Genomic DNA, 27,931 nt, shown 5'->3' with positions numbered 1-27,931 from the left:
ATAGGTATCTGTGCACTACGGAAGAAGCTGGGGAAGAAGAGATGGAGCCTGCCTATAGGTATCTGTGCACTAGGGGAGGAGCTGGGGAGGAGGAGATGGAGCTTGCCTATAGGTATCTGTGCACTAGGGGAGGAGCTGGGGAGGAGGAGATGGAGCTTGCCTATAGGTATCTGTGCACTAGGGGAGGAGCTGGGGAGGAGGAGATGGAGCCTGCCTATAGGTATCTGTGCACTAGGGGAGAAGCTGGGGAGGAGGAGATGAAGCCTGCCTATAGGTATCTGTGCACTAGGGGAGGAGCTGGGGAGGAGGAGATGGAGCCTGCCTATAGGTATCTGTGCACCACAGCAGGAGGTGAGGAGGAGGAGATGAAGCTGAAAAGACAGATTCCAGAGGGACAACAAGGCATTTTCGAGGCCACAACCTCCGCAAGAGTGAGCTCTGAGACAATGTGTAAATACAGTAATCATCATCAGCATCAGGTAAGTACAACTTAATAAATTGAGAAATCCAGGTGTTATTAGTTTGCTGCAAAAGAAATTGTGGTTTTTATCATTACTTATGATAATATTTGATTAGTTTTTTTCAAATTTAATTATTTAAATAGACATACTATTATATGTATTTATCATGTAGAACATAATGTTTAAAAACATACATACATTGTTTAATGGTTAAATCTGGCTAATTAACAAATGCTTTCCCTCTCATAGTTATTTTTGTGTGAGAACACAAAATCCACTCTGCATTTCCAAGCATACAACACATCAGCAGGTGTAATTTGATTCTTGAGAGGCGGGGCGCATATGGATCCATCCACAGAAGAGGCAGCTATGAGCTGGACCCTGGTCAGGGCTCCTCACCTCACGGAGGAGCCAAAGGCAAGGCAAGCAGCGGGGCCCACCCCTCTCTGGGAGTCCTGGGGACCACACTGTGCGGTGGGGCAAAGGGGCACAAAGGCTGGCTGACCCGTCTATGGGGCCAATTCCCTCCAACACCTTCTCCTTGCTTTTCATCTCAGGGGGAAAAATTACTCTGTCACCCTGGAGTTAGGTAAGAAAGGGAAGTTTGCTCCTAACTGCCACTCCACTCTGAGATCATCAGGCAGAGCTGATATTTTAACAAGTATGTACCAGTAATGACCATTCCAGTTGTTAAAAAACAACTGCTCTGTACCACCTGGTCAACAGCCGCTGCCCTGAAACCCTTAAGTGGCCCTTCCTAAGCCTACCCCACAACACTTCCCATGGCGTGGTCCCTTCCCCAGGATCTCCCTGAAATTCAGCAACTCAAAAGTTAATGCATGGCCCAGCAGGGGACGTCCAGGACCCAGCCTCCTCCAGACAGGATTTGTTCTGATTGGTCAGTGCCCAAGCCACACCAGTCGCTAAATATTTTGAATGCAGCCCCTGCTAGGAGACCTCAAGCAACCTGAGAAGCCAGGACTAGGGACTGGAAAGAGGACCCTGTAGATCTTGCTTGCTTGTTCCTTTCTGGAGCAGAAAGCTTTTGCTACTAGAATGTTTCTCTTAGTTTTTCTACTAAGGGTCTTTCCGTAGAAGATCTGGCCTGGAAACAAACACGGTAACACAAGAGTGGGGAAGAAAGCAACGAAATACAACTCTCCGAGCTAAGAGCTACCCAACTGGCAGGAAAGCCTTGCCGGCTGCCCGGTTCCTGCCCTCCCGCCTCCACCTCCCTGGGGGCCCAGGGTCAACGCTTCCTCAAATCAAATTGCCTAACTGAAGAAACAAAGCCCCCAGGGCCAGCCAGCTGGGAAAACAAAGCAGGAGGCATAGCAATATCTGCTGCCTTGGTTTTCTTTTCCATATCGGTACAGGTTCAGAGGCCGGGGGACAGAGGGTTGCACCAACACACGCACGCAGGTACCCACGTGCACACAAGCATGCGCACGCACGTGGGTACCCACGTGCACACAAGCATGCGCACGCACGCAGGTACCCACACACGCACGTGGGTACCAATGCATGCACACAGGTATCTGCACACACACACAAGCACACACACAGGTACCCATATGTGCATAAGCACACACACGCAGGTACCCATACGCACACAAGTAACTACACGCACACAAGCACACACACAAAGGTACTCACGCGCACACAAGCATGCACATCCACACAAGTACTCACACGCACACAAGCACACACACAGTTACCCACATGCACACAAGCACACACACACAGGTACCCACACGCACACAGGTACTCACACGCACACAAGCACGTACATGCACACACACGCATACAAGCACGCATAAGCACGCAAGCAGACACACTGATAGTATCCTAGAAAACATGAATTTGATTGCAAGGTTATTCTCAGTGTACCTGGGAAACATTTTTGCCATCTGCAAGTCGGGCAAGGTATTACAAGAGTTGGCTGATTTTCTGTGGTTTAACCTGTCATTGTTTGTCTAGAAATCCTGCCTGACCAGTCCTTGGCCTGCCTGATTGTGCAGAGACCAACCCTGAGAACAGCAGTCTGTCACAAATGCCCAGGTTAGCACAAAAACTCACTAGCCACCAGTCATGCTACAAAGATCACAGAGAGCGCCATCTCCTAGCACCCCCTTAAGTGCGGCAATCTTTCCAAAACCCAGTCCCATGAAGTCGGGACAGGAGGGATGGCCACTTCCTTACCCGCTTGTTGTCCGCAGGGCTGTGGTAGAACTGGGCGATAACAGCTTCACTCCTATTTCCCAAGCCAAAGTTTAACTTGTCTGAAATTTTCTTGAATGATTTTCCATAGTCGTAAGACACGTACACCTGGAATACAGAGAAAAGGAGATGAAAAAGAAAGAGTTGGTGAGAAACTGGCAGAAAGATCTTTCTTTTTTTTTTTTTTTTTTTTGAGACTGAGTTTCACTCTTTTTGCCCGGGCTGCAGTGCCATGGTGCGATCTCAGCTCACTGCAACCTCTGCCTCCCGGGTTCAAGCGATTCTCTTGCCTCAGCCTCCCAAGTAGCTGGGATTACAGGCACCTGCCACCACGCCCAGCTAATTTTTTTTTGTATTTTTAGCAGAGACAGGGTTTCACCATGTTGGCCAGGATGGTCTCAATCTCTTGACCTTGTGATCCGCCTGCCTTGGCCTCCCAAAGTGCTGGGATTACAGGCATGAGCCACCGAGCCCAAGCAGAAAGATCTCTTTCAAACATCCCATCCTGGATCCTGAACGTGGCTCCCATTAGGTGCCTGATAGGAAATGACAGATGTTACCAGATAACACACAAAGGTGAGGCAGGGCACCTCTATGTCTGTCCCCAAGCATGTGGGGGCAGAAAGCATGGGACCCCTGCAGTCCCCACTGCCTGGAATACACAAGCCTCTTTTCTGAGGCCAAGGCAAGTCCCTGGAGCAGGAGACAAATGATAGAAACAGTAATAACCTCCTCACCGGGGCTGAGTTCAGTGTTTAACAAATTACATCCAGAAGGGGGAGAATGTGGCTAGCTGAGGGGAATGGAACGGAGGATTTGTTTTGCCATCTGTTGAATGGTGCCCAAAACGTATCTAATTCTTCATTCTTCTTCTGGGAAGTTCTGTTTGTACAGCATTCCATACAAAAGAGAAGAAAACTCTCATGGGTCTCCACCACGTAGCCCAAGATGGAAATGAAAGATTGCTGAGTGACGTGACAATACTGTGAGATGTACCTACCTGTGAGATGTGAAATAATTAATATAATCACGGGGTTAAAAACAAGCCTGATAGGTGAATATATTAAAATAACTTAGTTATTTTTCAAATGATTCATGGAAAAGGGGATTAGGATGAGCATTAAAGAAAAATGAGGCCAGGAGCAGTGGCTCACGCCTGTAACCCCAACACTTTAGGAGACTGAGGTGAGAGGATGGCTTGAGGCCAGGAGTTTGAGACCAGCCTGGGCAACAGAGTGAGACCCTATATCTACAGAAAATATAAAAATGAGCCTGGCTTGGTGGTTTGAGCCTGTAGTCTCAGTTAGTTGGGAAGCTGAGGTGTGAAGATCACTTAAGCCCAGGAGTTTCCGGCTGCAGTGAGCCATGATCACACCATTGTACTCCAGCCTGGGTGACAGAGCGAGGAAGGAAGGAAGGGAGGGAGGAAGGGAGGAAGGAAGGGAGGGAGGGAGGGAGGGAGGAAGCGTGGGAGGGAGGGAAGGGAAGGGAGGGAGGAGAAGGGAGGGAGAGAGGGAGGAAGGGAGGGAGGGAAGGAAGGGCAGGTGAATTCAAAGTGGAGCAGGGTGTATTCCAATCCTTGCTTGTCTGAGTCATCAGCAAACATGTTTTGAGGGTTCCATGTGAGCCAGGTATTGTCTAGACACCAGACAGACAAAGACTAATAAAAGACATAGTCTTTAGACACGATGGGCATGTAAACATGTAAATGTCTGCAAACAATGCCCTATGTAAACACAAGGTATGTAGAAAGGGAACAGAGAGCACATGCACGTCTTTAATACTTACTAGATGTTAAGGTTAGAAGAGGCCAAGACAGAGCCTCTGCCTTTATCTGAGTCACAGTTGAAGAAGCTATTGGAACACACAGTATGTGTTCCCAACTACCAGATACACAGTAAGGAGCTGCCACAAAAGCAGCTTCAGAAATTGTGCAGGCTGAGAGTTCACAGATAATCTGAGTGGGTAAAATGACGAAGTAGCACTTTCTCACTTCTATTCTGCCGGCCAAGAATGGACATTAGTGTCCCGGTTAGGTTCAAACATCACATGGAGCAAAATAATGGCTTCTCAGGAAGGAAACTAAAGTCCCTTCCAGCTCTGACATCCCATAATTTGATAACCCCCCACGTATATCTTCAGGGGCACAAAGGTGATAGTTTACATTAAGGTAGCATTTTTCAGTATGTAATACTCCTTTACAAACATTCTCTCTCTTCATCTGAAAAACCGGAGTTAGTCTCACCTTTGTCTCTTTCAGTGTACCTGGGGCATAGCAGGTGCTCAACAAAGATTTCTAGGATGAATAAATATCATTATAAACCAAAGAGCAAATAAACAAATGTGATAAATAAATGAATAGAAAAGAATGAATTGAATGAATCAGTGAGTCACTAAGAGATTTCCATTTAAGAGATAAACAAAAACTAAGATTCCCAGAAGTGAATGGCTAGCTCCGGGTCATACCGCTAGTAAGAGACAAAACTATGACAGTTTCCTCCAATTCCACGTCCAGTTGTCTCTCTACTCCAACAAGTTACCTCTAGGAGAATGTTCTCTTCTCCATCTTAACGTTTCTCTGCTAAGTAGGAAGGTCTTATACCAAGTCTACAGGCCAAGCACTGGAAGGAGTGCTGGCCCGCAGAGAGAAAAGACCCACATTAACCAAGTAGAAAGCCTTCCTGAGATTCTCAGCCATGCCGCTGCCATCGTGCACATGGAGGTAAAACCACCTTCACTATCAAAGAGCTCTTCCCTAATTCTCACCTACAAACAAAATCCATCTCTTTGGGTCTTCTACTTAACAGAAGTGAAAAGCAAGTATGTAAGAGTCCGTCCTATGCCTGAAGGCCATCATGAACCACTCATCAACTTTCCTTCCCTTGGCCAGGTTGAAAAATTCCAACATGACATTTTTATCCTACCTTCATAATTGTTATTTCTTTCTCTTTTTTCTGACGAGACAGGCTCTTGCTCTATGACTCAGGCTGGAGCACAGTGGCACAAGCACAGCTCACTGCAGCCTTGACCTCCCGGGGTCAAGCAATCTTCCCAGGTTCAAGCGATCCTCCCACCTCAGCCTCCTGAGTAGCTGGGATTACAGGCAGGCGCCACCATGCCCAGCTAAATTTTTGTATTTTTTTTAGAGATGGGGTTTCCTAGGCTGGTCTCCAACTCCTAAGCTCAAGCAATCTACGCACGTCAGCTTTCCAAAGTGCTAGGATTACAAGCATGAGCCTCCGCACCCAGTCCTTAATTCTTATTTCTACTTAATTAGCATAGACTATAAGCTCCATAGAACAAGGACAATGCTTAAAGCTGGTGCACAGTTATCTATCTTCCCCCACATTGAACAGCCCAGAAAAGGCCTCTGCCAGTGTGCAGTTAGCTCAAGCGGATTGGTGGCTCCACCCCGACTTGCGCTTTCCTTTCTAGCTGTCTTTTCTTCATGGCAGCACCATGCTGCTGACTCACAGTCCAATACCATCTCCAGGTGAATTTGAGAGAACACCCCGGACTCACTCATCTTGTGCTCCTAGTTGGTTTTTCATCCAGACGGGATTTCTGCACTAAATAGTCCCCTCTGACCTCAATATGATGCTACTCCCTAAAAAGCAAAATAGCACAGGGGAGGAGTTACTGAACTGCCCACGGTTTCTGGTTAGATCCTTTTTTACCTACAAAGATGGTCCTTGAAAGTGAGTGATTTTTAATTCTTTCCCTTGTACCTCAAAACTACGTAATAATAAAGAGGAGGGAGAGAAAGGGGAGAAACAGATGACAGCTAAAATGTACAGAAAACATCCCCATATCTGGCACTGTTCTAAGTACTTTACAGCAATGTTCTCAAACTGTAATATGCCCACAGACTGCCCCCTCTCCGCCCCCTACCTGCCCCCTGGCCCCGGCAAGACACTGGTCAAGTGCAGGTTCTGATTCAAGAAGTCCGGATGGGACCTGAGATTCTTTTCTAACCAGCTCCCAGAAAATCCCCAAGGGCTGATCCACAGACCACAACCACACTTTGGGTAGCAAGGTTTAACAAGCACTATGTCAGTGACAGAGGAGGACAAGAGAAGGTACATCACCTGGCCCAAGGTCAGATTGCTAATGAATGGCACATCCGGGATTCCAGCCCAGGTGTTCTGATTTCAGAGCCTGTGCTCAGCCAGACATCGGCCTCCCTCTGTTAGCAAGAACTGACACTGCTCCCCAGTCAGTCCTGAGGGGTACAATCATGATGTCACACTGCTCTAGGGACAAAAGCAGAAAGTCCTATCCTGCACAGTATCTTCCCTGGTTGATTCTTTTCTTTTTTTCTTTTTTTTTTTGAGACAGGGTCTCACTCTGTCACCCAGCCTGGAGTGCAGTGGCACGATCACAACTCACTGCAACCTCCGCCTCCCGGATTCAAGTGATTCTCCTGCCTTGGCCTTCTGAGTAGCTGGGATTACAGGCTTGTGCCACCACGCCTGGCTAATTTTTATATTTTTAGTAGAGACAGGGTTTCACCATGTTGGCCGGGCTGGTCTTGAACTCCTGGCCTCAAATGATCCACCCGCCTCGGCCTTCCGAAGTGCTAGGATTACAGGCATGAGCCACTCCTCACCCAGCCCCTGGTTGATTCTGATCTTCTGGTGGACTGTACCCCTGGACAGCTCTTCAGCCAATTATGTTGCACCTGAGCACTTTGTAAACCTAGTACTTTGTAAAATACATCATGAGAGAGCAGAAACAAAGAGTTAGGAAAAGGTGAGATAAACATCTATTAATTCTTTTGTTGATTTATCACAGGACAGATGAGTCCTGCAGGAGCCGTTCTCTTCATGGAATCACACTGGCTTCAACTTCATCAGTGGATAAATGATTCATTTTTTCCCCGTTTGAGAGCAAGACTTTCTGGATTCCAGCTTCCAGAGCCATCCCTTTTTAGATACTGAATATGCATGACTTTGGCCGCTCACCAACACCCACACAGTTCCTGATTTGTTTAGGTTCTTTCCCTTCTGGACTGCTGATGGGACCTTACAAACCATGCTCAGTCTTCTTTAAAGAGAATTTGGATTGTTATTACCCCAACTACTGCCTCTGAGTCATCATTTCTTTTCACATTAACTTTTTACATCAGGCATCTCACTTGCATCTGCCAATCCTTTAACACAGTTTGTATAGAGAGGAAGGCCATTTCTGCCATCCCTATTTATTAACCCTGGCCATTGCGTTTCCTTCCCATTTAATCTATCTCCTTTTTTTTTTTCTTTTTTGAGACAGAGTTTTCTCTCTTGTTGCTCAGGCTGGAGTGCAATGGCATGATCTCAGCTCATCGCAACCTCCACCTCCCGGGTTCAAGCGATTCTCTTGCCTCAGCCTCCCGAGTAGCTGGAATTACAGGCACCCACCACCACACCCAGCTAATTTTGCATTTTTAGTACAAATGGGGTTTCTCCATGTTGGTCAGGCTGGTCTCAAACTCCCGACCTCAGGTGATCTGCCCACCTCGGCTCTATCTCCCATTTCATTCCACAATAGTGTATCCCACTTCACATGTTCAATGGGCTCTTAGTTAGACACACCCAAATATACAGAGAGAGCAAGAGTTGGGTTTCAATAGACTGGCAATACTTAGGGTGACAAACCACCCTGGTTCACTCAGAATTAAGGGAGGATCCCAGGATGTGGGGCTTTTAGTGCTAAAACCTAGACAAGTTGGTCACCCTAATACCACATCTTCGCACACTGAGTACATGATTGGGCCTTGATTCTCATCAGCCCCGACCTTCCCACTGACATGCTGAGTGACCTCATGCAAGTCTCTTTACACCTCTTGGCTCCTGTTTGTCCAGCAAAACTATAAAACAATGCTTAAGGTCTTTATCTACCTCACAAAAAATGTTGTCTGGATTAAGAGTTTTTTTAAACGCATAAAAATTCCAAGAAGGATTTCTCAACACAGTATAGCACAGTATATATATCTCCTGTGCCCAGGAGGGATATGCCCATGGGCAGGGACTACACACAGGTGTCTATGAAGAGTCTCACAGGGCCAAAGGCATTCTTTTCTATTTTTTGTTTTATTTTTTCTAGAGAGAGGGTCTCACTGTCACTCAGGCTGAAGTACAGTAGCACGAAGATAGGTCACCGCAGCCTTGAACTCCTTGGCTCAAGGGATCCTCCTGCCTTAGCCTGCTGAGTAGCTGGGGCTATGGGAGCAGGCCACCACACCCGGCCACCAAAGGCATTCAGACACAGCTGTCTGTGGTGGCCACAGCTTTTACTTGCAAAACCTGATCATATTTATAAATGGGCCAAAGTCATTGCCCCAAACAAGTCTAGCCCTGCCCCAGAGCACTACACCCAGACTGGCCATCAGTAGCGGTGGTCTCCCACACAGCATGGCTCAGAACCCACCCCGGGCAAAGTCATGCATCCTGACAGCCAGCCCTTCTGTCTTCCCTTCTGTGGCTGCCCTAATTCAACTCCCTGGAAACAGTCCCTGAGACAACTTCCCAACACCTGCTTCTCAACACACCCAACCCAGACAGTGGATATACAGAGAGGGACCTCACAGAGACCAAATCCGCATTCAAGAATTATAAATGTATCCTTAAGGCTAGTGTGAAAGTGCTGGCAAATTCATCAGAAGGTTCCCCCGGCCAGAATGCAGGGTGACCGAAGCTGTAAAGCATGGTGTTCCGTCTGCAGCCTCGCGCTGCCACAGTGTCAGACCCCAGGCTGAGGCAGGGGCTGCTCCTCTCACCCACAAGGAGGAGTCCAGAGCACAGGCCGCAGACCTGGGACCAGCCGTTGGGCGAGCTTTGGCCCTTACATGTGTTTTACCTGGCTCACGCGGTGTCTGTAAAAACTATACACTGGCTGCCAACTTGTAAGACTCAGCAGTTTTCACATGAAACTCCAGACCTCTGGGTTCCTCTGGAAAACCAGAAGATGTGGCAACACTGGGCCCAGCATCCTGCACGGCAACCAGAGCCTGGAGCTGACAGTCAATGCTCCTCGGAAGCATGCTTCTCCCGGTCCCCAAAGGCCCTTCCCCTTCCCCACGTCTCTCCAACACAGGAACCAAGTATCCATTAGTATGTTCAAATTAAGATATGGGAGAATGTTTCTTGAATGTGCATCTCCATCAAAAGTGGAAATGACATATATTGTCCAACAAGGCCACAGACTTCAAGAAAAATGGGAGAAACCATATTTCTCTGAGGAGGTAGAGTGTTGTAATGGCCAGGTGTGGTGGCTCAAGCCTGTAGTCTCAACACTTTGGGAGGCCGAGGCAGGCGGATTGTTTGAGCCCAGGGGTTCGAGACCAGCCTAGGCAACGTGGCAAAACCCCATCTCTACCAAAAAATATATATAAGCACAAAAATTAGCCAGCCATGCTGGTGTGCACCTGTAGTTCCTGCTACTCTGGAGGCTGAGTGGGTGGGAGGATGGCTTGAGCCCAGGAGGCGGAGGTTGCAGTGAGCCAAGATCACACCACTGTACCCCAACCTGGGTAACAGAGCCAGACCCCAACTCAAAAAAAAAATAGAAAAGAGTGTTATAAACTTGAAGGTGGCTTCACTCCTGTCCTTTACCTGCCCGGCCTCCCACAGGCCTTTGAGTTTATAACCCTTGGCATCTTGAGTCTTCAAAGTACCTCACCTACTAAAGATCACAAATACCCAGCTATAGAAATTAAGAATATTAGAGAATCAGTTTCAACAGCTCATCCCACTATAATGGGTTAGAAGAAACCAGCATATGGGAAAGGCCAATTTGATTCCATCGGGCTCAGCTGCAGGCAGGCAGCTCTGCCCAGGAAGGCACTCTGGTATTTTCTTGGGCAGATGCAACAATCCAGTCCATATGCTATTACTTCCCAAAGGTAATCACACATTGCATGGATCTGTTTGCAACACTGACTGCACCTCCCTGTGTTCAGCAAACAAGGGATATATCATTTTCTAGATTATCTTCCCTGTCATACAATTCATCCATTCCATGTTCCAATTACCCACTACTTTTTCCAGTATGATAATCCCAGTGGACCAGAAAAGGGCATGTTGATGGCACCAAGGTGTGCCCAGAGCCAACACAACACTTACATCACTGCTCTTGGGCCTCGCCAATGCCAGGCTATCTCGGGCCAAGGCCACGATCACGTTGCTTTTCTCTCCAGCCCAGTGCACCACCATCTGATTGTGGGAATCATTCAGACTAACCTGAAAGAGATCAATGTAGGAATTAGGACCCACGATAAGTGATGGCCACACACATTCTAAATCAAGACTCTTTCCTCCTTTGTCAAGCAGAAATGATGAAGATTCTGCCATCTAAAGCATTTGGGCCAAGGTGGCCTCTTCCCCTCCCACCTCATGCATATTCTGTCACACTCAACTTCCCCACAAAGAAATGAGTCCCCTGCTATTTTGGATGTAAAGAGATTGTAGAAAAGCTTCTTGGGCTCTCATTGGCATAACCAATTCCTTTGATTATTTTCATCCTTTATGATACCAATCTCTGGTTACTCTGATCCTTACTCTATGTATGACATGCACTGGTAAGATTTTAAACCAAAGCATGGAAACATTGCCCTTGTTCAAAAAAAATTCATAGGCCAGAAAGATCACATGCTTTTCAAACTTCTGTTCCAACTATGTTTTTTCTGGCTTGGTGGTACTGTCATTCACTTTCAGCTGGTAATGAGAAATGAGAGAAGTATCATTGTGAAGCTTTTCAAAATTATTTTTGAAAGGTCTCAAATAAGGAAATATTTTAGTTCTCAGACTTTTAGATTTGGTAAACCGATAAAATAAAAATGAGGAAGGCCAACAGAGGACTGGTTGGCAACTTCTATTCTGCCAAGTAAGGACATCACAAAAACAGGACTAGCTACTCTCTCAATCTCTTTCCTCTGCTTCCTGAGGACACCGCAGACTCTGGTCCAGGCTGTGGGGCAGAAGGTGTGGCCTGGGACTGAGTTCCAGCAGGTGTAATGTGAGAGAAGTCATCAGGGCCACTATCGGCCTGGCCCCCATGCAGTCCTCTTTTCTTTCCCCATCCGCAGGCCGCATTCAGAGGACTCCAAAGCCCCAGAGGAGGGCAGAGCCGAAGACGGAAGGAGGCTGCATCCCCATGGAAAAGACCTCCGCTAACCAGTAGCACTCATCCTGAACTTCTCATAACCCGGAGCCTCAACTCAGCCACACGCTGAGCCTTTGGGATTTGTCTGTTACGCAGCTCACCTTACAGGGCAATATGACCACTATCTAGAGTCATTGTCATTTTTTCAAAGATGTGTTAACACTGAAAACTGAGGAAGCATATCATCTCAGAATAAAGAACCATTGTTTCACTGTATGGAAAACTACATTACTTTTATTTTCTTATTTCACTGTTGGCTGATGGACACCTGTCTGAGGACTGGCATTTGAACACCTGAACCATACATTCCACCCACTCTGTGGAAAGCAAAGTCATGACAGGAATAACAAAAATTCTGAGAGCTGGTCAGGCTCGGTGGCCCACGACTGTAATCCCAGCACTTTGGGAGGCCAAGGCGGGCAGATCACCTGAGGTCAGGAGTTCAAGACCCGCCTGGCCAATACGGTGAAACCCCATCTCTACTAAAAATACAAAAAGTAGCCAGGCATGGTGGCATGCACCTGTAGTCCCAGCTACTCGGGAGGCTGAGGCAGAAGAATCGCTTGAGCTCAGGAGGCAGAGGTTGCAGTGAGCCAAGGTTGAGCTACCACACTCCAATCTGGGCGACAGAGCAAGACTCAGTCTCAAAAAAAAAATTCTGAGAGGTGGTCCAACACTCAGAAGCAGGACAATGCCATGAAACCAGGATCACAGGCTGCCTCTCTTGCTGAGCGATGTCTGAGAGAAGCCTATTCCACCAGCCTCCTCAACCTCAGCTGTCTGAGGCACACGTGGAAGGAAATCAAGCTTCTGGGACTCCAGCCCGCACAGTCCACCCCACCCACGAGTAAGCCTAGACTGATGACAGTTCAAGCCTGGGCCAACCTGCCCTCCGAGCTGTCTTCTCATCAAGGCTCTGCGGCAGAAAACCCACAGCTCCTTTCTCCTTCTCTCGCTTCCTCCCCCCAGCACACTCGAACTTTCCCCACCCACTCCTTGAGGTGCTCTCAGATGTCATCAGGGAAAAGAGAAACACCTGTGCCACATATTTGGCTGGCAGAAGGACAAAGCAGCTAATCCTTAACGACGTTACTTGGAGTTTTAAATACCTGCATTTAATTTGATCCAGGATCAAACTCTTTTTGAAAAACATTTGAAAGGCGACCTTACTTTAAAGAAAAGGACCTAGGAATATGTGTCCTTCCAAAATGTCTCTCCTCATTCCCAGATAGAGAAGTCCAGGCAAGCACTAACAGAGAAGTGCAAATAAGAAATAGAAGTAAATAAATTATTTAATCCAGAATGCTACAAAGAGAAAGCAGCTAAAGGAATCTCCTCCGGTCGCTGAAGCCTTCCCTTTTCCTCCTCTCCAGCCCAATCCCCTGGATCCATCTGGAGATCAGAAACTCACAACACATGTGCCCTGGGAATCCCAGCTAAAAGTTTCCTCCCCTCCCAAAACATCTGCACTCTTGAACCAGAGTGGGGATAGAAAACTATGCAAATGTCAATACAATAAAGGACTAGGAACCTAGAAAAAAAAAATCACCCATGTTCCCCTGGGATCTGGGATAAAAAGTCCTCAAATATTCAACTTGGGCATCCTCAAAGATGACATCAAAATGCTCCCTCTGGCAGGTAACACTCAGATAATGCTTTGAGTAGGTTGCAAAGCTTTCAGTGATCAGAGTGGGCAAAAGGTCTGAAGATAACTTGCTGAAATCGATCTACTCAGAGGACAGGAGACCTCCTCACCAATCCCAAGGCAGGTGAAAGGTGAGAAGAGCACCAAGGGCAAGCCTCAAAACATCCAAGGGCTTTTCTACAAAGAAAAACTCCCATCCTGGCTAACACGGTGAAACCCGGTCTCTACTAAAAATACAAAAAATTAGCCGGGCGTGGTGGCGGGTGCCTGTAGTCCCAGCTACTCGGCAGGCTGAGGCAGGAGAATGGCGTGAACCCGGGAGGCGGAGCTTGCAGTGAGCCAAGATTGTACCACTGCAGTCCAGCCTGGGCAACAGAGCGAGACTCCACCTCAAAAAAAAAAAAAAAAAGAAAAAAAGAAAACCTCTAGAAGGCAAGCCTGGTAAAACACCTGTTTGTTTGTTACTTTGTTTCTTTCTCTTCTTTTTTTTAAGGAAAGCTTTTTTTATTAGATGTCCCTTTTACTCATAAGAGCAGACTGAAAAGGGGCAGCCCAGTAGGGGGATAAAATCCCTGGCAAGAAATGACTTGTACGAGGGCCACCAGGCACTCGCAGGAACAGCTCAGCTCCTTTGCTTGGCGAGATGTCAGGCACATCCTGGTCATAAGAATAACTCCCTGGTGAGTCACAGCTGATCCCCAAGGCAGCCCGGGTGCCCATCCCCCCACAGCAGACCTAGTTGCAGGAATCAGGAATGGATGCGCGCAGGACAGGGGAGCCAGCAGGCAGGCTGACAGGAAGTAAATTTTATTATCAAGACATGCATTCTACCCTCTGGCCTCACCTGTCTCCTCTGTCTCCACCTTGCCCCCATCCTCACCCCCAGGGGAAAGAAAAGAAGTCAACAAAGCAGGCTTTTCCTGCTAGCTCTCCATGGCATGTGGCCAAGACACCAGCAGCCCAGGGCAGACCCCAGCAATCAAGAACAACCCACAGGTCCCTAGATCCCTTTACTTAATCAGTGGCTTCCGGTTTGTTTGGTTCCTTTTCCATCCATCCCCAAGGATCTCCCCCTGATCTCCCCTTTCCTCCTCCCCAAGCCTTTTTCCATCGCCAATCCCCCACACAGGTCCCACACCCAGAAGACACTGGCCTGGGAGTGGGTGGGAGGGTGGTTTTCCCAGGAACATAACCTTGACGTGCAATCAGCTATAACCACAACCCCGGGGTGTGAACAACCTTCCCTCTCCCCTGTCTAGCTCACAGGGCATAGCTGGAGCTTGATAAATGAGACACAATTAATTGGAGCTGTTAAGGCAGCAGGGAGGGGCCGAGTGCCTCCCCTCAGAAGGCAAACAGAGAAAAATTACATGCCACAGAAACCTCTGAACACAGAAACTGCATCATAAACAACAAACAGCATCTGGCTCATTGGCAGGTCGTTAAGAGTCAAGATAACTCCTCCCACCCCACCCCCCAAAGATCACCTGGCCTAGGGGGGTCCCATGCCCCACTGAAGGTCAGAATCACCTAAGAGGCCCCACTCCACGCCTACCGGCTCTGTCGCCCTCTGCCTGGAGCCCAGGAATCAGTCTTTTTTAAAAGACACACCCAGCCGGGCGTGGTGGTTCATGCCTGTAATCCCAGCACTTTGGGAGGCCAAGGCAGGCAGATCACGAGGTCAGGAGATGGAGACCAACCTGGCTAACACAGTGAAAAACCGTCTCTACTAAAAATACAAAAAATTAGCCAGGCACGGTGGCACGTGCCTGTAGTCCCAGCTACTCGGGAAGCTGAGGCAGGAGAATTGCTTGAATCTGGGAGGCAGAGGTTGCAGTAAGCCAAGATCATGCCACTGCACTCCAGCCTGGGCGACAGAGCGAGACTCCGTCTCAAAAAAAAAAAAAGGAGACACACCCCAACCCCAGGTATTTCTAATGCAGCTTCTTTGGGAAACAATGAATCTAGTTGATTCCCCTGCCTCCTGGCAGGAGTTGGAACTAAATGACGGTAGCTAGAAAGATGTACCATTTTTGGCGGGGGGGCTTGTCTTTGGGGATTTGGGATGGTCATTAAAACTCTAGGATATACTGATGATATATGCTACAATGTGGCTGAACCTCACAAACAATATGCTAAGTGAAAGAAGCCAGATACAAAAGGTCACATATTGCATGATTGCATGACACCATTTATATGAAATGTCCCGAATAGGTAAATCCATAGGGAGAGAAAGCTGATTAGTGGTTACGAGGGGCTGGGAGATTGGAGAGGAGGGAATCACTGCTTAATGGGTAAGGGGTTTTATTTCAGAGCGATGGAAATGTTTTGGAAATCATGGTAGCACAACATTGCGGCGATATTAAGTTCACTGAACTGTTCACTTTAAAATGGCTAATTTTATGTAATGTGAAATATACTCAAATTTTTTTAAGGCCTCTAGGACCTGCAGAGAACATTATATTTCTCAAGTGCTAATCAAGAACCTAGGAGCTTCCACTCTTAAGAAGTGCTCCTTTTATCTCATCTCAAGCCCTCATGCTACCAAAATATGCAGCTAGAATGAGTCATACAGGAGGCAGGCTGTGGACTGGGTCTCTGGCCAAACCAATCCTTCAAAGTGCTGTCAGCGGCATCTGCAGAGCCACAGCATCCGCACAGGCCTCCCTGTCCCCAGCTGGAGAAACAGCCGCAGGCCCAAGGCTAGCATCCACCGCCAGCTCACAACAGTGGATGCCACCCACACCTTGACTCGCCTCGGCATCTTCATCGAACAAGTCCATATCACCCCACAAGTGTTGTCCCTCAGCCCCCTGCGTGCCCTGGCAACCCGGAGAGGTGAAATGATTCACCTCCTATTATTCAGAGTGAGGGGAAGGACCTGCTACCACCCAGTCCTCAAGTTCTGGGTTGTTATAAATAGAGGGGAGGAAGTCAATGGCTTGGATGAAGGGACTGATTACTCATGCGTTCACTTGCGGATGAAGTAGGCACTGAGGTCTGCTAGGTGCCAGGCACCCTGTAGGCTCTTTAATCATTTCTTACCTGTTAGCTCACACAGAGCACTTCTGGGGGAATTAGGGTTGCAAGTCTAAGCCAATGATGAGAAGTTTCCAATAAAACCACCGAAATCTGTATAGTTGTTGAGGCTTATGCAGGAGGTGGGGCCACTGAATAGAATGGGTCACAGGTACCCTCTCTACACCTCTTTCAAATTGGTCAAACCCAAAAATCAGGATGTCCTAGACTCCCACAGCTTGCAGTCCTCACAACTCCTACACAGCCTCCTCCCAAAACGCAGTACAAGGAGGACAAATAAGGCAGTCTGATTCATTTCTCTGCTTCACTAGCAGTGAAATACAAAGAAGCGTTTTTAAAATTCTACAATATAGCATAAAACAAATATCCTGTCCTTCAACTGTGAGGACAGAAGGAGCCAGGCACTCCCCTGAACTATATGACGAAACTGAGGAAGTCAAAGACAGCCTCCTGAGGTCCAAGGAGAACAAGGTTTTCCCAAACCATCCCTTTGCATGGCTTAAATGCTAGGTATGCAAATTGCCTCTCACTGTCCCCTTTCAAGACTGTGTTCTCACTATATTTAGCAGGCTTATTATCCTCCCTGGACTGCTCACCTCAGAAGGAAAGCTGAAATCTAGTTTACGAGCACTCCCGGAAGAGAGGCCCAGTTCATGGAATCTCAGCTCACTCACTTGACTTTTGAGTTTGCTCAAGATGCTTCACCTACAGAACTCCTGAACTACTTTGCTGATGAATTCAGGCTGCCCATTTTCCAGATGAGGAAACAAGGAGAGAATAACCTTGGACTAGAACTTAGCATTCACTACTATCTCCTTCACTGGAGCCATGACCATTCTACAGAGAAAAATACACATATGCCCTTTCCTTTCTCTTTGCTAAAAGGATGATAATCATAATCTCACTGCCTTATAATATCAGTTTAGAGAGCTTATTTCCCTTTCTGATTGATCCTTGGCAGCGAGAACCTATCTACTGTTTACCTCTGTGTGCCACTCTGTCCTGGTGAACCCACTTTGTCAATGAGCGAATATGCTTTGCTGTTTTGGGAGGGGCTCCCTACTAAAAAGAAACTGTGGAAAACTCTCTTTCTCATGAACATAATATCACCCCTTAATTTACCAGTTGGCAAAAAAAAAATGAGGAAAATATCAAAGCCAGAAAGAATCTCAGAGAACAATTAAATGAAATGCCACCTTTTGCAAATGAGATTAAGCTCAGAGACAGACTTTAAGGCAATGTGGTGGTTCTCACTGCCTGAAAACACACGGCCATGTGCAGGAAACACAGTCAGAGTGAGCACAGCAAATACCCCCTCAAGAGAGCGCACCCCAAGCCAGGACTTGCCCTACGTGAGGATTTCCCTGTGAGCCCAAAGTCATTTCTCACAGCTCTTCAGGATGGTTCCAGACCACAGACTTGCCCTCTGCAGCTTCACCATGAATAGCCCCTCACCGCGTTCAGTCAATAAGTATTTATCAAGCACTAACTATATACCAGATGCTATACTAGGTGTTAGTAAAATGGCAGACTCACATCTGCAATCCCAGCACTTTGGGAGGCCAAGGCGGGTGGATCCCTCGAGCCCAGGAGTTCAAGACCAGCCTAGACAACATGACACAACCCCATCTCTACAAAAAATACAAAAACTAGACGGGCCTGGTGGCGCATGCCTGTAGTCCCAGCTACTAGGGAGTCTGAGGTGGGAGGATCGCTTGTGCCCAAGAGATCGAGGCCGCAGTGAGCTATGATCATGCCACTGCACTCCAGCCTGGGCGACAGAGCTAGACCCTGTCTCAAAAAATAAAAAAGAAAGAAAAATAACACGATTCTAGGTCCTGCCTCATAGCTCTGAATATAGTAGGGAAAACACGCATTAAACAACTAATTCCAGGAATGATGATTGAATTACTGTTGTTACACAGGGGACCTAACCTCATATCGGGGAGAGAGTGAGGCTTCACTGAAGACCTGACCTATGTACTGACACCATAAGGATGAAGAGGGAGGAGTTAGGGAAAAGGGGATGGAAAAGTGAGGCAGAGAACATGGACCCAGACCTAAGGCAGGGCAGAGCAGAAGCCAGGAAGGAGAAGGGCCTTGAGACTTGCTGTGTTTGAAAAATTACAAGATCAGTGTGGCCAGGAGAAAGTGGAATTATGTGAGATCTCCAGGTTTTAAAGGTGGAGAAAAAAAAGTACTGCAAAAAAGCTGTGGATCCCTGCTTGAGATCAAAAATTTCACTAGATTACTTAGGATAGACAAATATGCCTGCATAAATCTGAAACAAGTTAGCGGGTTGGTTTGAGTCTTGTTCTCTCCGGTTTACCACCTGTCTAACTACGGGTAAGTCACTTCACCTTTTCAAGCTTCAAGATACTCATCTCTGAAATGAGATGAATAATCATTCTTATCTTCCCCATTTTTCAAGATTGTCGTAAGAATCAAATGAGATGCAGCCTGTGGATGTCATTTCATAAACTTCGACGCACTAAAACATCATTTCTTTTCATTACCAAATGCCTCTCAACCAAAATAAGCCATTCCTCACAAAACGGCTCCACATAGAACATTAACATTAGCGAAAGGCCTAAGAGCAAGCGATGACATATATAAAATGACAAAACACTGCACGCCTGAGTCAAGCTAGGAGCTCCTGCCTAACTGAAACTCACAGGCAGTTTTCTCCTTGATTCCCAGCCGAACTCTGAAACCTGGGGAAACCCAACCTCCAGGTCCCAAGGCTCCAGCCCAGAGGCGACACTGTTTTCTAGCACTTTCCTAACTCCAAGAGAAAAGCATGTAAACATTACATCCCAGAACCGAAGGCCTCTATACCCTACCAGTGGCTTCTTCACCACCCTGTGAGGGCAGCTATAAACAAGACTAATGGAGAAGGGGGAGTGCATTAAACCCATGGCTTGGCCAATTTCTCAGTAATAGGAGATGCCCTCTGGGCTACCAGGAGGTGAGGCAACAGGCGGACGTCCCACAGGCTCTGGTCTGCTAGCTAAACTCCCCCAGCTCTGTTTAGATAGCTCTTTCACCTCTAACCAACTTTCCACATCCACTGCTTCATTTTTCTCCTCTAGAGATTGAAGGCCTTGTTTCTGCAGTAACCGTCCCCCTCCAGCCCACCCATCACCACCACCACCAACAGCACACCTTGCCAAATTCAGCAAACCATGTGCACAGTTAACTGCAGATTTTTTTTTTTTTTAACCACTCAGTGAGAGAATTTCAGGGAACTAAATGTACACAGATGAGGTAAGTCATAGGTACAGAGTCTCAGGTTACTCAATTAATTGAGCACAGGTTCAAAGCATGCAAGTCCTTCCAAACACTTCTGGTTTCACAGGACACTCACCCCACTCTGCTCTGTCCCCACTCCCTGCCATCTCGGGCTCCTTGGCTGAGATCCTTGGGCAGATCAGCACTGGCCTTTCTCCCCAGGTCCCTGGGGCAGAGACAGGTGGAACTGTCTCGCATGTGTCTCCTGGGCTAATAGAGAAATGGGGTCCTTAACTATCTGGGACCTTAACCCTATAGCTTGCTATCTCACAGGTACCTATTAAAGTCTTCCCAGCCACAGTCCCCAAGCTAGCCTTTCTCCACAGGTGGCTCTTAACCCAGGGCCCTCCAGGCTCAACCAGATCATACCAGCCTTTCCAATGCCTCTGGGCACAGAGTTAAAAATTTCACCAAGGCCAGGCACGGTGGCTCACACCTGTAATCCCAGCATTTTGGGAGGCCAAGGTGGGTGAATCACGAGGTCAGGAGTTCGAGACCAGCCTGGCCAATATGGTGAAACCTCATCTCTACTAAAAATACAAAACAATTAGCCGGGCGTGGTGGTGCGCACCTGTAATCCCAGCTACTCAGGAGGCTGAGGCACAAGAATCGCCTGAACCTGGGAGGCAGAGGTTGCAGTGAGCCGAGATAGAGCCACTGCACTCCAGCTGGGTGACGGAGCGAGACTCTGTCTCAAAAAAAAAAAAAAAAAAAATTCATCATGACACTACACCTCAGCTCACCAGCCCCCCAAAGTCAGAAGGAAATCATCTCAGTATCCCTAAAATATTAAAATCCCAACTGAGGGCCCACCCATTGATTCACCCCCACATTTATTTCATGTAAGATTCACCCTAGTCATCTTCCCCCAGGGTTTCTACTCAACAGGCTAGTCTCTCTTCTAAATAATAGAGGTCACATCAGTTACCTTCTTCATTTAAAAAACCCCCAGAAAGGGGGGGAGATAATAAACAACATATTGGTCTCTACACGGCACAAATGCATTTGATATAGGTACATCTTTTTATTGTCCTTGTCAGCCACTCAGATTTGGGATATAATCACATCAGCCTGCCTTTCTGAGAATTCGTAGCTGTGTTTTGAATCTAATTCAGGGGACTGGAGATAAATCATTGTGAAGGGTCCTGATTTTCCAAGCTAAGAGCCTGCAGCAGCAGCAACAGCAATGGCAAGCTAAGTTAAAAGGTCAGCCAAGAAGTGGGGGAGGTTTATATGCAAAGATGAAGACCACACGCCTGTAGTGTTTGTCTTCATGCCAATCTGGAGGGTTGAAGGGAAGAAAGACAGACCCAGCTACATCAAGGTAAGTCAACAAAAGCACAGGAAGCAAAGGGCAGGGCAGGGAGATGGCCCCACTGTTAAGGCACTGTTTACATCTTTCATTGCTAAACAGAACGTGCAGGGTCTGCGCTCCACCTTAGCAAAGCCCGATACAAGTGCAGTGTTTGCGCAAGGCCAGATGAGAAGTGAAGCCACAGAGATCTGGTTCACCCTATGAATAGCCAGCCTTCATTGACTAAGTGACTGACAGAAGGAGGCAACTGTGCAGAGGCATGCCCTAGAGCCAACCACCGGACCCACTTGGCCCTCCACGGTCCCCCTGGTGAGTTCCTACCTAGGAAAGAAGGACCACTGTCTCCTGACACTCAACTTGGCAGTCAGCAGCCACCAATACCTAGGGTCTAGACCCAAGCCCTCCACTCTTGCTTTTATTGCCCTGTTTGCCCTGCCTACACGAGCAGGTCTTTGCAGGAACTTCTCTCTTGGGTGAAGCAGAGGTTGCCTACAGGTGGGAAGAAGAGGCCTTGTCAAAGCTTGTGCTGTCTACACAGTAGCCAAGAGCCACATGTGGCTATTTCAACTTTAAATTCGTTAAAATTAAATGAAAGACACTTCAAGTCTTCAGTCACACTTGCCACATTTCACCTGCTCAATGGCCAGATCTGACTAGTGAACATGGTGAACAGCACAGATAGAAAACATCACTATCACAGAAAGATCTATTGAACAGTGCCACATCGGAGGGTCCAGGACGCGGCCAGGAAGATAGGATCTTCCAGCTCTTGGCTAGTAGCAGTGCTATGGGCATGGATGTTACCATTATAATAAACAGTTACCCAGTGGATAACAGAACTTTGTAATTATTTTTTAACACACTAGTGTACTTGTGATCGTTACGCAGTCCTATTTTTACGGAACCCACCATAAAATGCACAAAGCATTGGTCATGTTACAGTTAAAAAAAACTGAGCATCTCACAATAACACAGGAGGAAACTCAAATCTTGATCTTGCTCAGCAGCCCACCCTGCCTTTTCTGGATTTTAGCTTCATCAGCCACTTCAGCGCTTGAAGGCCGCCCATGCCACTTCTTCGAAGGCCCAGGGTTCACAGGTCGATAAGCCAATAAATTAGGTCGAAATTAACTGTGGCTCATTTTAAATTGAGGGAAATTGATTTTTGCATGTACGTGGCTAGACTGACTATACCATCTGCCAACAGTGTCTGGCATACCTAGAAAATGCATAGGAAAGTCCCATGCTCATCAACAGAGAATGCCTCACCCCCACAGCCCAGACCACCTCTGGAGAAATACTAATCCCTGAATATTCAAACCAAAAATGCAGTGAGCTCTCTTTTACTTTCCATCACATTTATTTAAATCCAAATAAATGGAGGAAAGGTCAATGTAATGCCCCCAGGTTTTAATACATTTTTATTCATTTAAAACATTTAATACATTTTTATCAACTCTCAATTATCTGCATCTGAATTATTGTCGCAAATTCTAAACTCCAAACTGCCTTTCCCTGAATACATTTAGGCCAGCCATTTCCCTTATCAATAGATCAAAGAATGCAAACTCATTTTAATATTCACCTGAGCAAAACTTAATTAGGAAGGTAAACGAATGCTTTAAAAAAAAGACTACATAAATACATAGCAAAAGCAAATCGATTATTTTTTGGATTACCTGCTCTCCAGATTATGATAAGACTGCCCCCTGTGTCCCTCCATTACAGTGGGTGGAACAAAGCTGGCTCCAACTATCTCTGCCCTGGGATTCAACAATGACACTATGAAGATGGCTGTCATCTCTAAGGAGGAACAGACCAAAATCTGACAATGAAATGTTCCTACAACATCCACCTTTTGCCTTGGGATGTTCGTTGCTATAAGGATCTGCCTCGTGGATCCCAAGTCTCAAAGCAATTTATTAAGCATACCATTAACTTCATTTTACAGAACATAGAGAAAACATTCTCAGACAGAACACAAATTAAAACCAAGATCCATGATCACTGTATTCTGATGCTCTTACAAGCCTGGACTCCACATCTCAAGGGAACTGTGCTCCAGCATCTCTCCAAGTTACAAGGGGGCTACATCAGGCTGCTCTCCTGCTCTGCAAGAACGCTTGAAGTGAAAGGAGAATGAGGTTTTTCTCACCTGGCCTGGAAAAAAAGTAATCATCTATTTTATATTATGATACTTCAGGTAATTTTCTAACAATTCACCATCATAATATCACAAATATAATTTAGAGCTAAAGTTAATCTCATTATTCAGGATACCAGGGACTACAGGTAACAGGAAGCCATTTATAATTCAAGTTTCCAATTTTATGTACATACATGTTGTACATGCATAGACTGTTTCTGGAAAGATATACAAAAATATTGATAACAACGGATGCCACCCGGAAAGGAGCTCTGGGTGAACAGGGGGCATGAGAGGGAAGGAAATTTGTTACCACATACGCTTTTGTACAAATTTTGTTTTGTAAACGTGCATTACCTAATCAGACAGCTTTTTATTTCATCCCTCCAAATTCCGCCTCCTTACTCTTCTCACCAACCCCTTTCCTCCATTCCTTCCCCCTCGCAAAGCCTCCACCTTCTGTGCCTCTAACCATGCAAGCTATTTATGAACTAAAAGCGGCCAGAGACTGGGCACAGAGCTCCCTAAGAAAAGACGCCAAGTGGAACCAGGAAGAGCTTTTCAAGGTCACGTCCCTTATTGAGCCAACCCAAGGCCCCGAGCAACTCTTCAGCTACATAAAAGCCAACCTGAAGCAGCACATTCTTTGCCTTCTCATCTTATTCTGGAAGCACACAGGTCAAACATCCTAACTTCAGAATCAACCAGCCAATTCTTTCCCAAGCAAGTGTATCATGGAAGAATCTACTCAAAAGAGATCTAAAGCTGAACGGTATTCCACCCCCAAAGGAGGCCTTTTGTCCCAGGGCCTTGTGCTGTAATAGACACTTTATTTTCAGTCTCAAATCAGGACACTGAATACTCCCTGGCTTCTAAAATGTAGGAATTATGAAGAGAGAGCTTGTTGGAAGGAAAATAAACCTGTAAATCCTGTTAGGCTTTGTGCTTTATTCCAAAGGATTTTTCCCCAAAACAATACCATTAGCATAAACCAGAATGATAGCCCTAAAAGGGAGGATTCTGTAAAATAGAATCCAAGCTCTTCATTGAAAATAACTCCCATATAGCACAGGCAAATCAGGGCTCCACTATCTGTAGGCCATGCCGCTTGCATCCTCACTACCGAATGAGCCATCTCATTTTCACTATCCATGTGTGGGTTCACTGTATTCCTCCTTACAAATACATTTTATATAATGTGAATGTGCTTCCTACCCTCTGGGCCTCTCTTCTTCCAGGTGTGTGGCTGGTCCACAAATACTCATTAAGGGCCTCCCAAGTGCCAGGGAAACACAAGAGAACTTGATCCATGCCCTCAAGGAGCAAACAGGAAGATGAGACAGTTGAGCAATTCTAACACAAGGCAGTAAGTGCTGCCTCCAAGCTCAGAAGAAACTCTTCCCACCATAGCCTGAGAATACCAAGAGGTATTCCTTGGATGTTAAAGAATGGAATAAGAGCTTCCCAGGCAAGGACAAGAGTTGGGGAAGATCATTTCAGGCAGAGGAAAAAGCAGGTATGATGGCGCAGACAGACAGAGCTTATGAGAAATCAGGAGGAAATTCAGTGTGGCATGAATTAGGGAATCCCTCTTCTTGGACCTGGCCTTTAAGAAGGGGCTCAACTTCTAAACTTTGCCTTTTTTTTTTTTTTTTTTAGATGGAGTCTCACTCTGTCCCCCAGGCTGGAGTGCAATGGCGCGATCTCGGCTCACTGCAACCTCCGCCTCCGGGGTTCAAGCGATTCTCCTGCCTCAGCCTCTTGAGTAGCCAGGACTACAGGCATCTGCCACCACGCCCAGTGAATTTTTGTAGTTTTAGTAGAGACGGGGTTTCCCCATGTGGACCAGGCTGGTTTCGAACTCCTGACCTCAAGTGATCCACCCGCCTCGGCCTCCCACAGTGCTGGGATTACAGGCGTGAGCCTTGAACATGGGCAGAAAAGTCCTGATATCTGCCAGCAAATTATTTTCACCCCTACAATCACATTTCAGTATCATAAATGTGCCTTTAAGTAATCATGGCAGAAGCCGGTCTCCCCACCTTAGAGAAACTGAGGAGGAAAATGGTCAAAATAACCAAGCCTAGTTTACCCAAGACATTAGCGAAGCAGAGGAAAAAGGACCGACATTGACTCCAGCACAGGGCTCTTTCTCAGATGCAAGTATTCCCCTAGAAAGCCTTCCCTTCTCTTCTCCCTGAAGGTGGTGGCCTTAACATCGCCTCTAGGCCTGCTTCCTTCAGGCAGCTTCTGCTTCCAGCCCTAACCTGTGCTGCCAGTGTCCTCTTAACCTCACTCAAAGGTCAGAGGGCAAGAAGCTGGACAGTGTCTGAGCCCACCACCCCTTATCTCTCCATCTCCCATGCGCTGCATGTCACACAGCCCGTTATCACACCATTGTAGAGTTGTGGCTGGTTTCTTGTGACCATGTTTCCTGGTTCCCATCCTGGTACATTGACATGCCTGTATCTGCATCTGCTTGCTCTCCTCCTTAAATTGTAAATTTCCTAAAAGCAGGAATGAAATTTTATTCCCCAGCTCACTGCACCTCCATAGAACCACACTCAAGTCAAGCAGTACTGTTGGAAAACATCACCATTCCTTAGGTTTAAACGTTGAAGGGGAAAGTCGTGATTACAAAGTGGAACTTGGCTTAAGGCTAAAAGTAGGACCATATAATTTATTGTCACATCTTGACACTTTTGAGAGTGAAGGGGGTGCTATTCATAACCACCAGAGACAACTTAGAAACCAGGTCTGCCCCAGGGAAACACAGAGGCAATGGTCATCCTTGCTAGAAAGATCATTCCAAATAGATGTTAGTTACTCCAGAGTTCCAAGAGGGGCACCTCAAACCCCTTCAGTCACCAACCTGTGCTTGCATTCTGAAGGGTCTGCACCAGATAGAACTTGTGGCAGAAAGCCCAGTACAGGGAAGTTCTTCCTTTTATCTGACTCAAATCCTTACAGATTCAAATTAATTCCACTTCTTATTAACCTCAGAGCAAGAGGCAACAATGGCATAGGAAGGCAGCCACAGAGAAGAAAAATCTCACCCTTGTACCCTCACCCTCCGGTTAGGAATTCCTCATTATGAGTTTGACTGCTAGTTCTCCATCCTTCAGCTGAACCAAACTCAATCTGGCTGGCCCAGAAACTCAAAAGCCCAGGGTTTGGGAGTCACTCCCAGTGAGAACAGAGTTCATGTCCAACCTGCCCCACATCCCCTGGAGCTTTTCATAAACCAAACCCAAGAAAGAAATGGCACATGTACACATATTTTTGAAACCAGAAAACTTTTTCCTCAACCTAAACTATAGCTTCAGGGGACCTGAGCACTGGGAGGGATTGTCTCCCACCAGCCCCCAACTCCCAGTTCCCAGAATGCTGATTCAAGAGCACAGCAGAGCTGGGCTGACTGCGGAGGCCCAATGAAGAAGTGGGCCACTCCTCCTCCTTCTCCCACCCTCCATCAGCCCCATGCTGGTGTCGCTGTTAAGAGCAAGGACCTTGATGACTTCTTTTTGTTCATACACATATTTGTCATATGGGGTGGGGACAGGGGGACAAGGATCTGGGCCCAAGAGGAACTGAGCATGCAGGTTCCTGCAGCCTGTGGCCACCATTAGTTACATGCCCTGGGGCACACATTCTTGCCCAGGGACCAATAGTGGAGGGAAATCCAACGCTCCCACCCAGTCACCACCATCCTTTCCCCCTTTATACCAGATCTATTTTATTTTAGAAAGGAGGTATTTCAGCAGCATTGCATAAAGACAGGGTGACTGCAGTCAAGCAAAGGTCACTGAGACAATGCAGACAAAAACTAGAGAGCAGGCCACCTTCCCGGTATGACCTTGGACTAGTCACTTCACCATTCCACGCTTCAGTTTCTTCACCAACAAAATGACACAATAGGGTGATATGTTTACAAGGTTCGTCCTGGATCCAAGGGTTGAACATTTAACTCTGTATTTCCTGAAGAAATGGCTAAAGTGAAATTAGTGAGAAAAGGCAGAACTCAGGGTAATCTTTTATTAATAATTTCTACTTCAAAAGGAACAATTTGACTCTAGAAAACAAGTGTATTTACCCCCTCCTCTGGTCCTACTTTTTCTCCCCCACCGACCTTATACTTTTGCTGATGTCAATCTTAACTGCAGGACTGGGAGTCTCATGAGGCAATAACACGGTCAAATTAATTTTGCCAGTGCTGATCCTAACCTACAAACTCCATCTGCAATTCCTCGCAGTAAGTCTGACCATAAAAGTGAAATTCACGTTACTTATGATCTAATAAACCTATTGCCTGGGTAGAAATAAATCACTTATAGAATAATAATGCCCACCAAATTTCCTGCAGTCCTTTCAAATCTCCAAGTGCCATGAGGGGTATTCCTCTCCAAAATAAAGTTATCTTGACGGGGGTGGGAGAGTCAGCATCTTGAAGGGTGGGGAAGAAGGAATGGAGAGCATCTCACACGCTCGCCAAAAATTAAAAATTAAAAATTCAGCCTTTACACACGCACACACATACACACACCTCTTGTCTGACTGTACAGAGATAGTCGACAAGCTTTCAGGTTTGCCCACTTTTATTGTGCTAATAATGCTAAGTGTGGAAACCCCCACCTCGTGCTGTTCTGTGTAAGTGTACCGCAACTGCAGGGTGC

At 46.8% G+C, this 27,931-nt stretch overlaps 1 protein-coding gene and 1 long non-coding RNA gene across 2 annotated transcripts in view, besides 7 other annotated features; one reads left to right on the top strand and one right to left on the bottom strand.

Annotated features, from left to right (window-relative positions):
* The window catches only part of SORL1 (sortilin related receptor 1), a 181,450-nt gene that overhangs the window by 152,857 nt on the left and 662 nt on the right, over nt 1-27,931 (bottom strand). Inside the window, exons 2-3 of the mRNA NM_003105.6 lie at nt 10,784-10,900; nt 2,664-2,789 (exon numbers count right to left, since the gene is read on the bottom strand). Coding sequence (NP_003096.2) covers nt 2,664-2,789; nt 10,784-10,900 — 243 coding nt within the window. The remainder of the gene's footprint in view (nt 1-2,663; nt 2,790-10,783; nt 10,901-27,931) is intronic.
* On the top strand, nt 246-7,760 carry LOC105369535 (uncharacterized). Its single transcript, NR_169501.2, has 5 exons — nt 246-479; nt 711-883; nt 2,442-2,522; nt 3,562-3,735; nt 7,476-7,760. It is a non-coding gene; the product is annotated as an uncharacterized LOC105369535 (long non-coding RNA).
* Nucleotides 12,412-12,461: an enhancer, noted in NCBI's record as "active region_5658". NCBI's record gives its function as "activates an Ori minimal core promoter by ATAC-STARR-seq in GM12878 lymphoblastoid cells {active_cell/tissue: GM12878}" and the evidence as "EXISTENCE:reporter gene assay evidence [ECO:0000049][PMID:35858748]".
* Nucleotides 12,842-12,891: an enhancer, noted in NCBI's record as "active region_5657". NCBI's record gives its function as "activates an Ori minimal core promoter by ATAC-STARR-seq in GM12878 lymphoblastoid cells {active_cell/tissue: GM12878}" and the evidence as "EXISTENCE:reporter gene assay evidence [ECO:0000049][PMID:35858748]".
* Nucleotides 13,940-15,139: an enhancer, noted in NCBI's record as "P300/CBP strongly-dependent group 1 enhancer chr11:121336477-121337676 (GRCh37/hg19 assembly coordinates)". NCBI's record gives its function as "activates an origin of replication core promoter dependent on BRD2, BRD4, P300/CBP, MED14 and CDK7 cofactors, with strong dependence on P300/CBP, by STARR-seq in HCT116 cells {active_cell/tissue: HCT116}" and the evidence as "EXISTENCE:reporter gene assay evidence [ECO:0000049][PMID:35650434]".
* Nucleotides 14,307-14,376: an enhancer, noted in NCBI's record as "active region_5656". NCBI's record gives its function as "activates an Ori minimal core promoter by ATAC-STARR-seq in GM12878 lymphoblastoid cells {active_cell/tissue: GM12878}" and the evidence as "EXISTENCE:reporter gene assay evidence [ECO:0000049][PMID:35858748]".
* Nucleotides 26,583-26,632: a silencer, noted in NCBI's record as "silent region_4005". NCBI's record gives its function as "represses an Ori minimal core promoter by ATAC-STARR-seq in GM12878 lymphoblastoid cells {active_cell/tissue: GM12878}" and the evidence as "EXISTENCE:reporter gene assay evidence [ECO:0000049][PMID:35858748]".
* Nucleotides 27,757-27,806: an enhancer, noted in NCBI's record as "active region_5655". NCBI's record gives its function as "activates an Ori minimal core promoter by ATAC-STARR-seq in GM12878 lymphoblastoid cells {active_cell/tissue: GM12878}" and the evidence as "EXISTENCE:reporter gene assay evidence [ECO:0000049][PMID:35858748]".
* Nucleotides 27,827-27,896: an enhancer, noted in NCBI's record as "active region_5654". NCBI's record gives its function as "activates an Ori minimal core promoter by ATAC-STARR-seq in GM12878 lymphoblastoid cells {active_cell/tissue: GM12878}" and the evidence as "EXISTENCE:reporter gene assay evidence [ECO:0000049][PMID:35858748]".

Source organism: Homo sapiens, chromosome 11, assembly GCF_000001405.40.
Source record: "Homo sapiens chromosome 11, GRCh38.p14 Primary Assembly".
NCBI lineage: Eukaryota > Metazoa > Chordata > Mammalia > Primates > Hominidae > Homo > Homo sapiens.
This window is presented reverse-complemented; position numbering and strand designations above follow the sequence as displayed.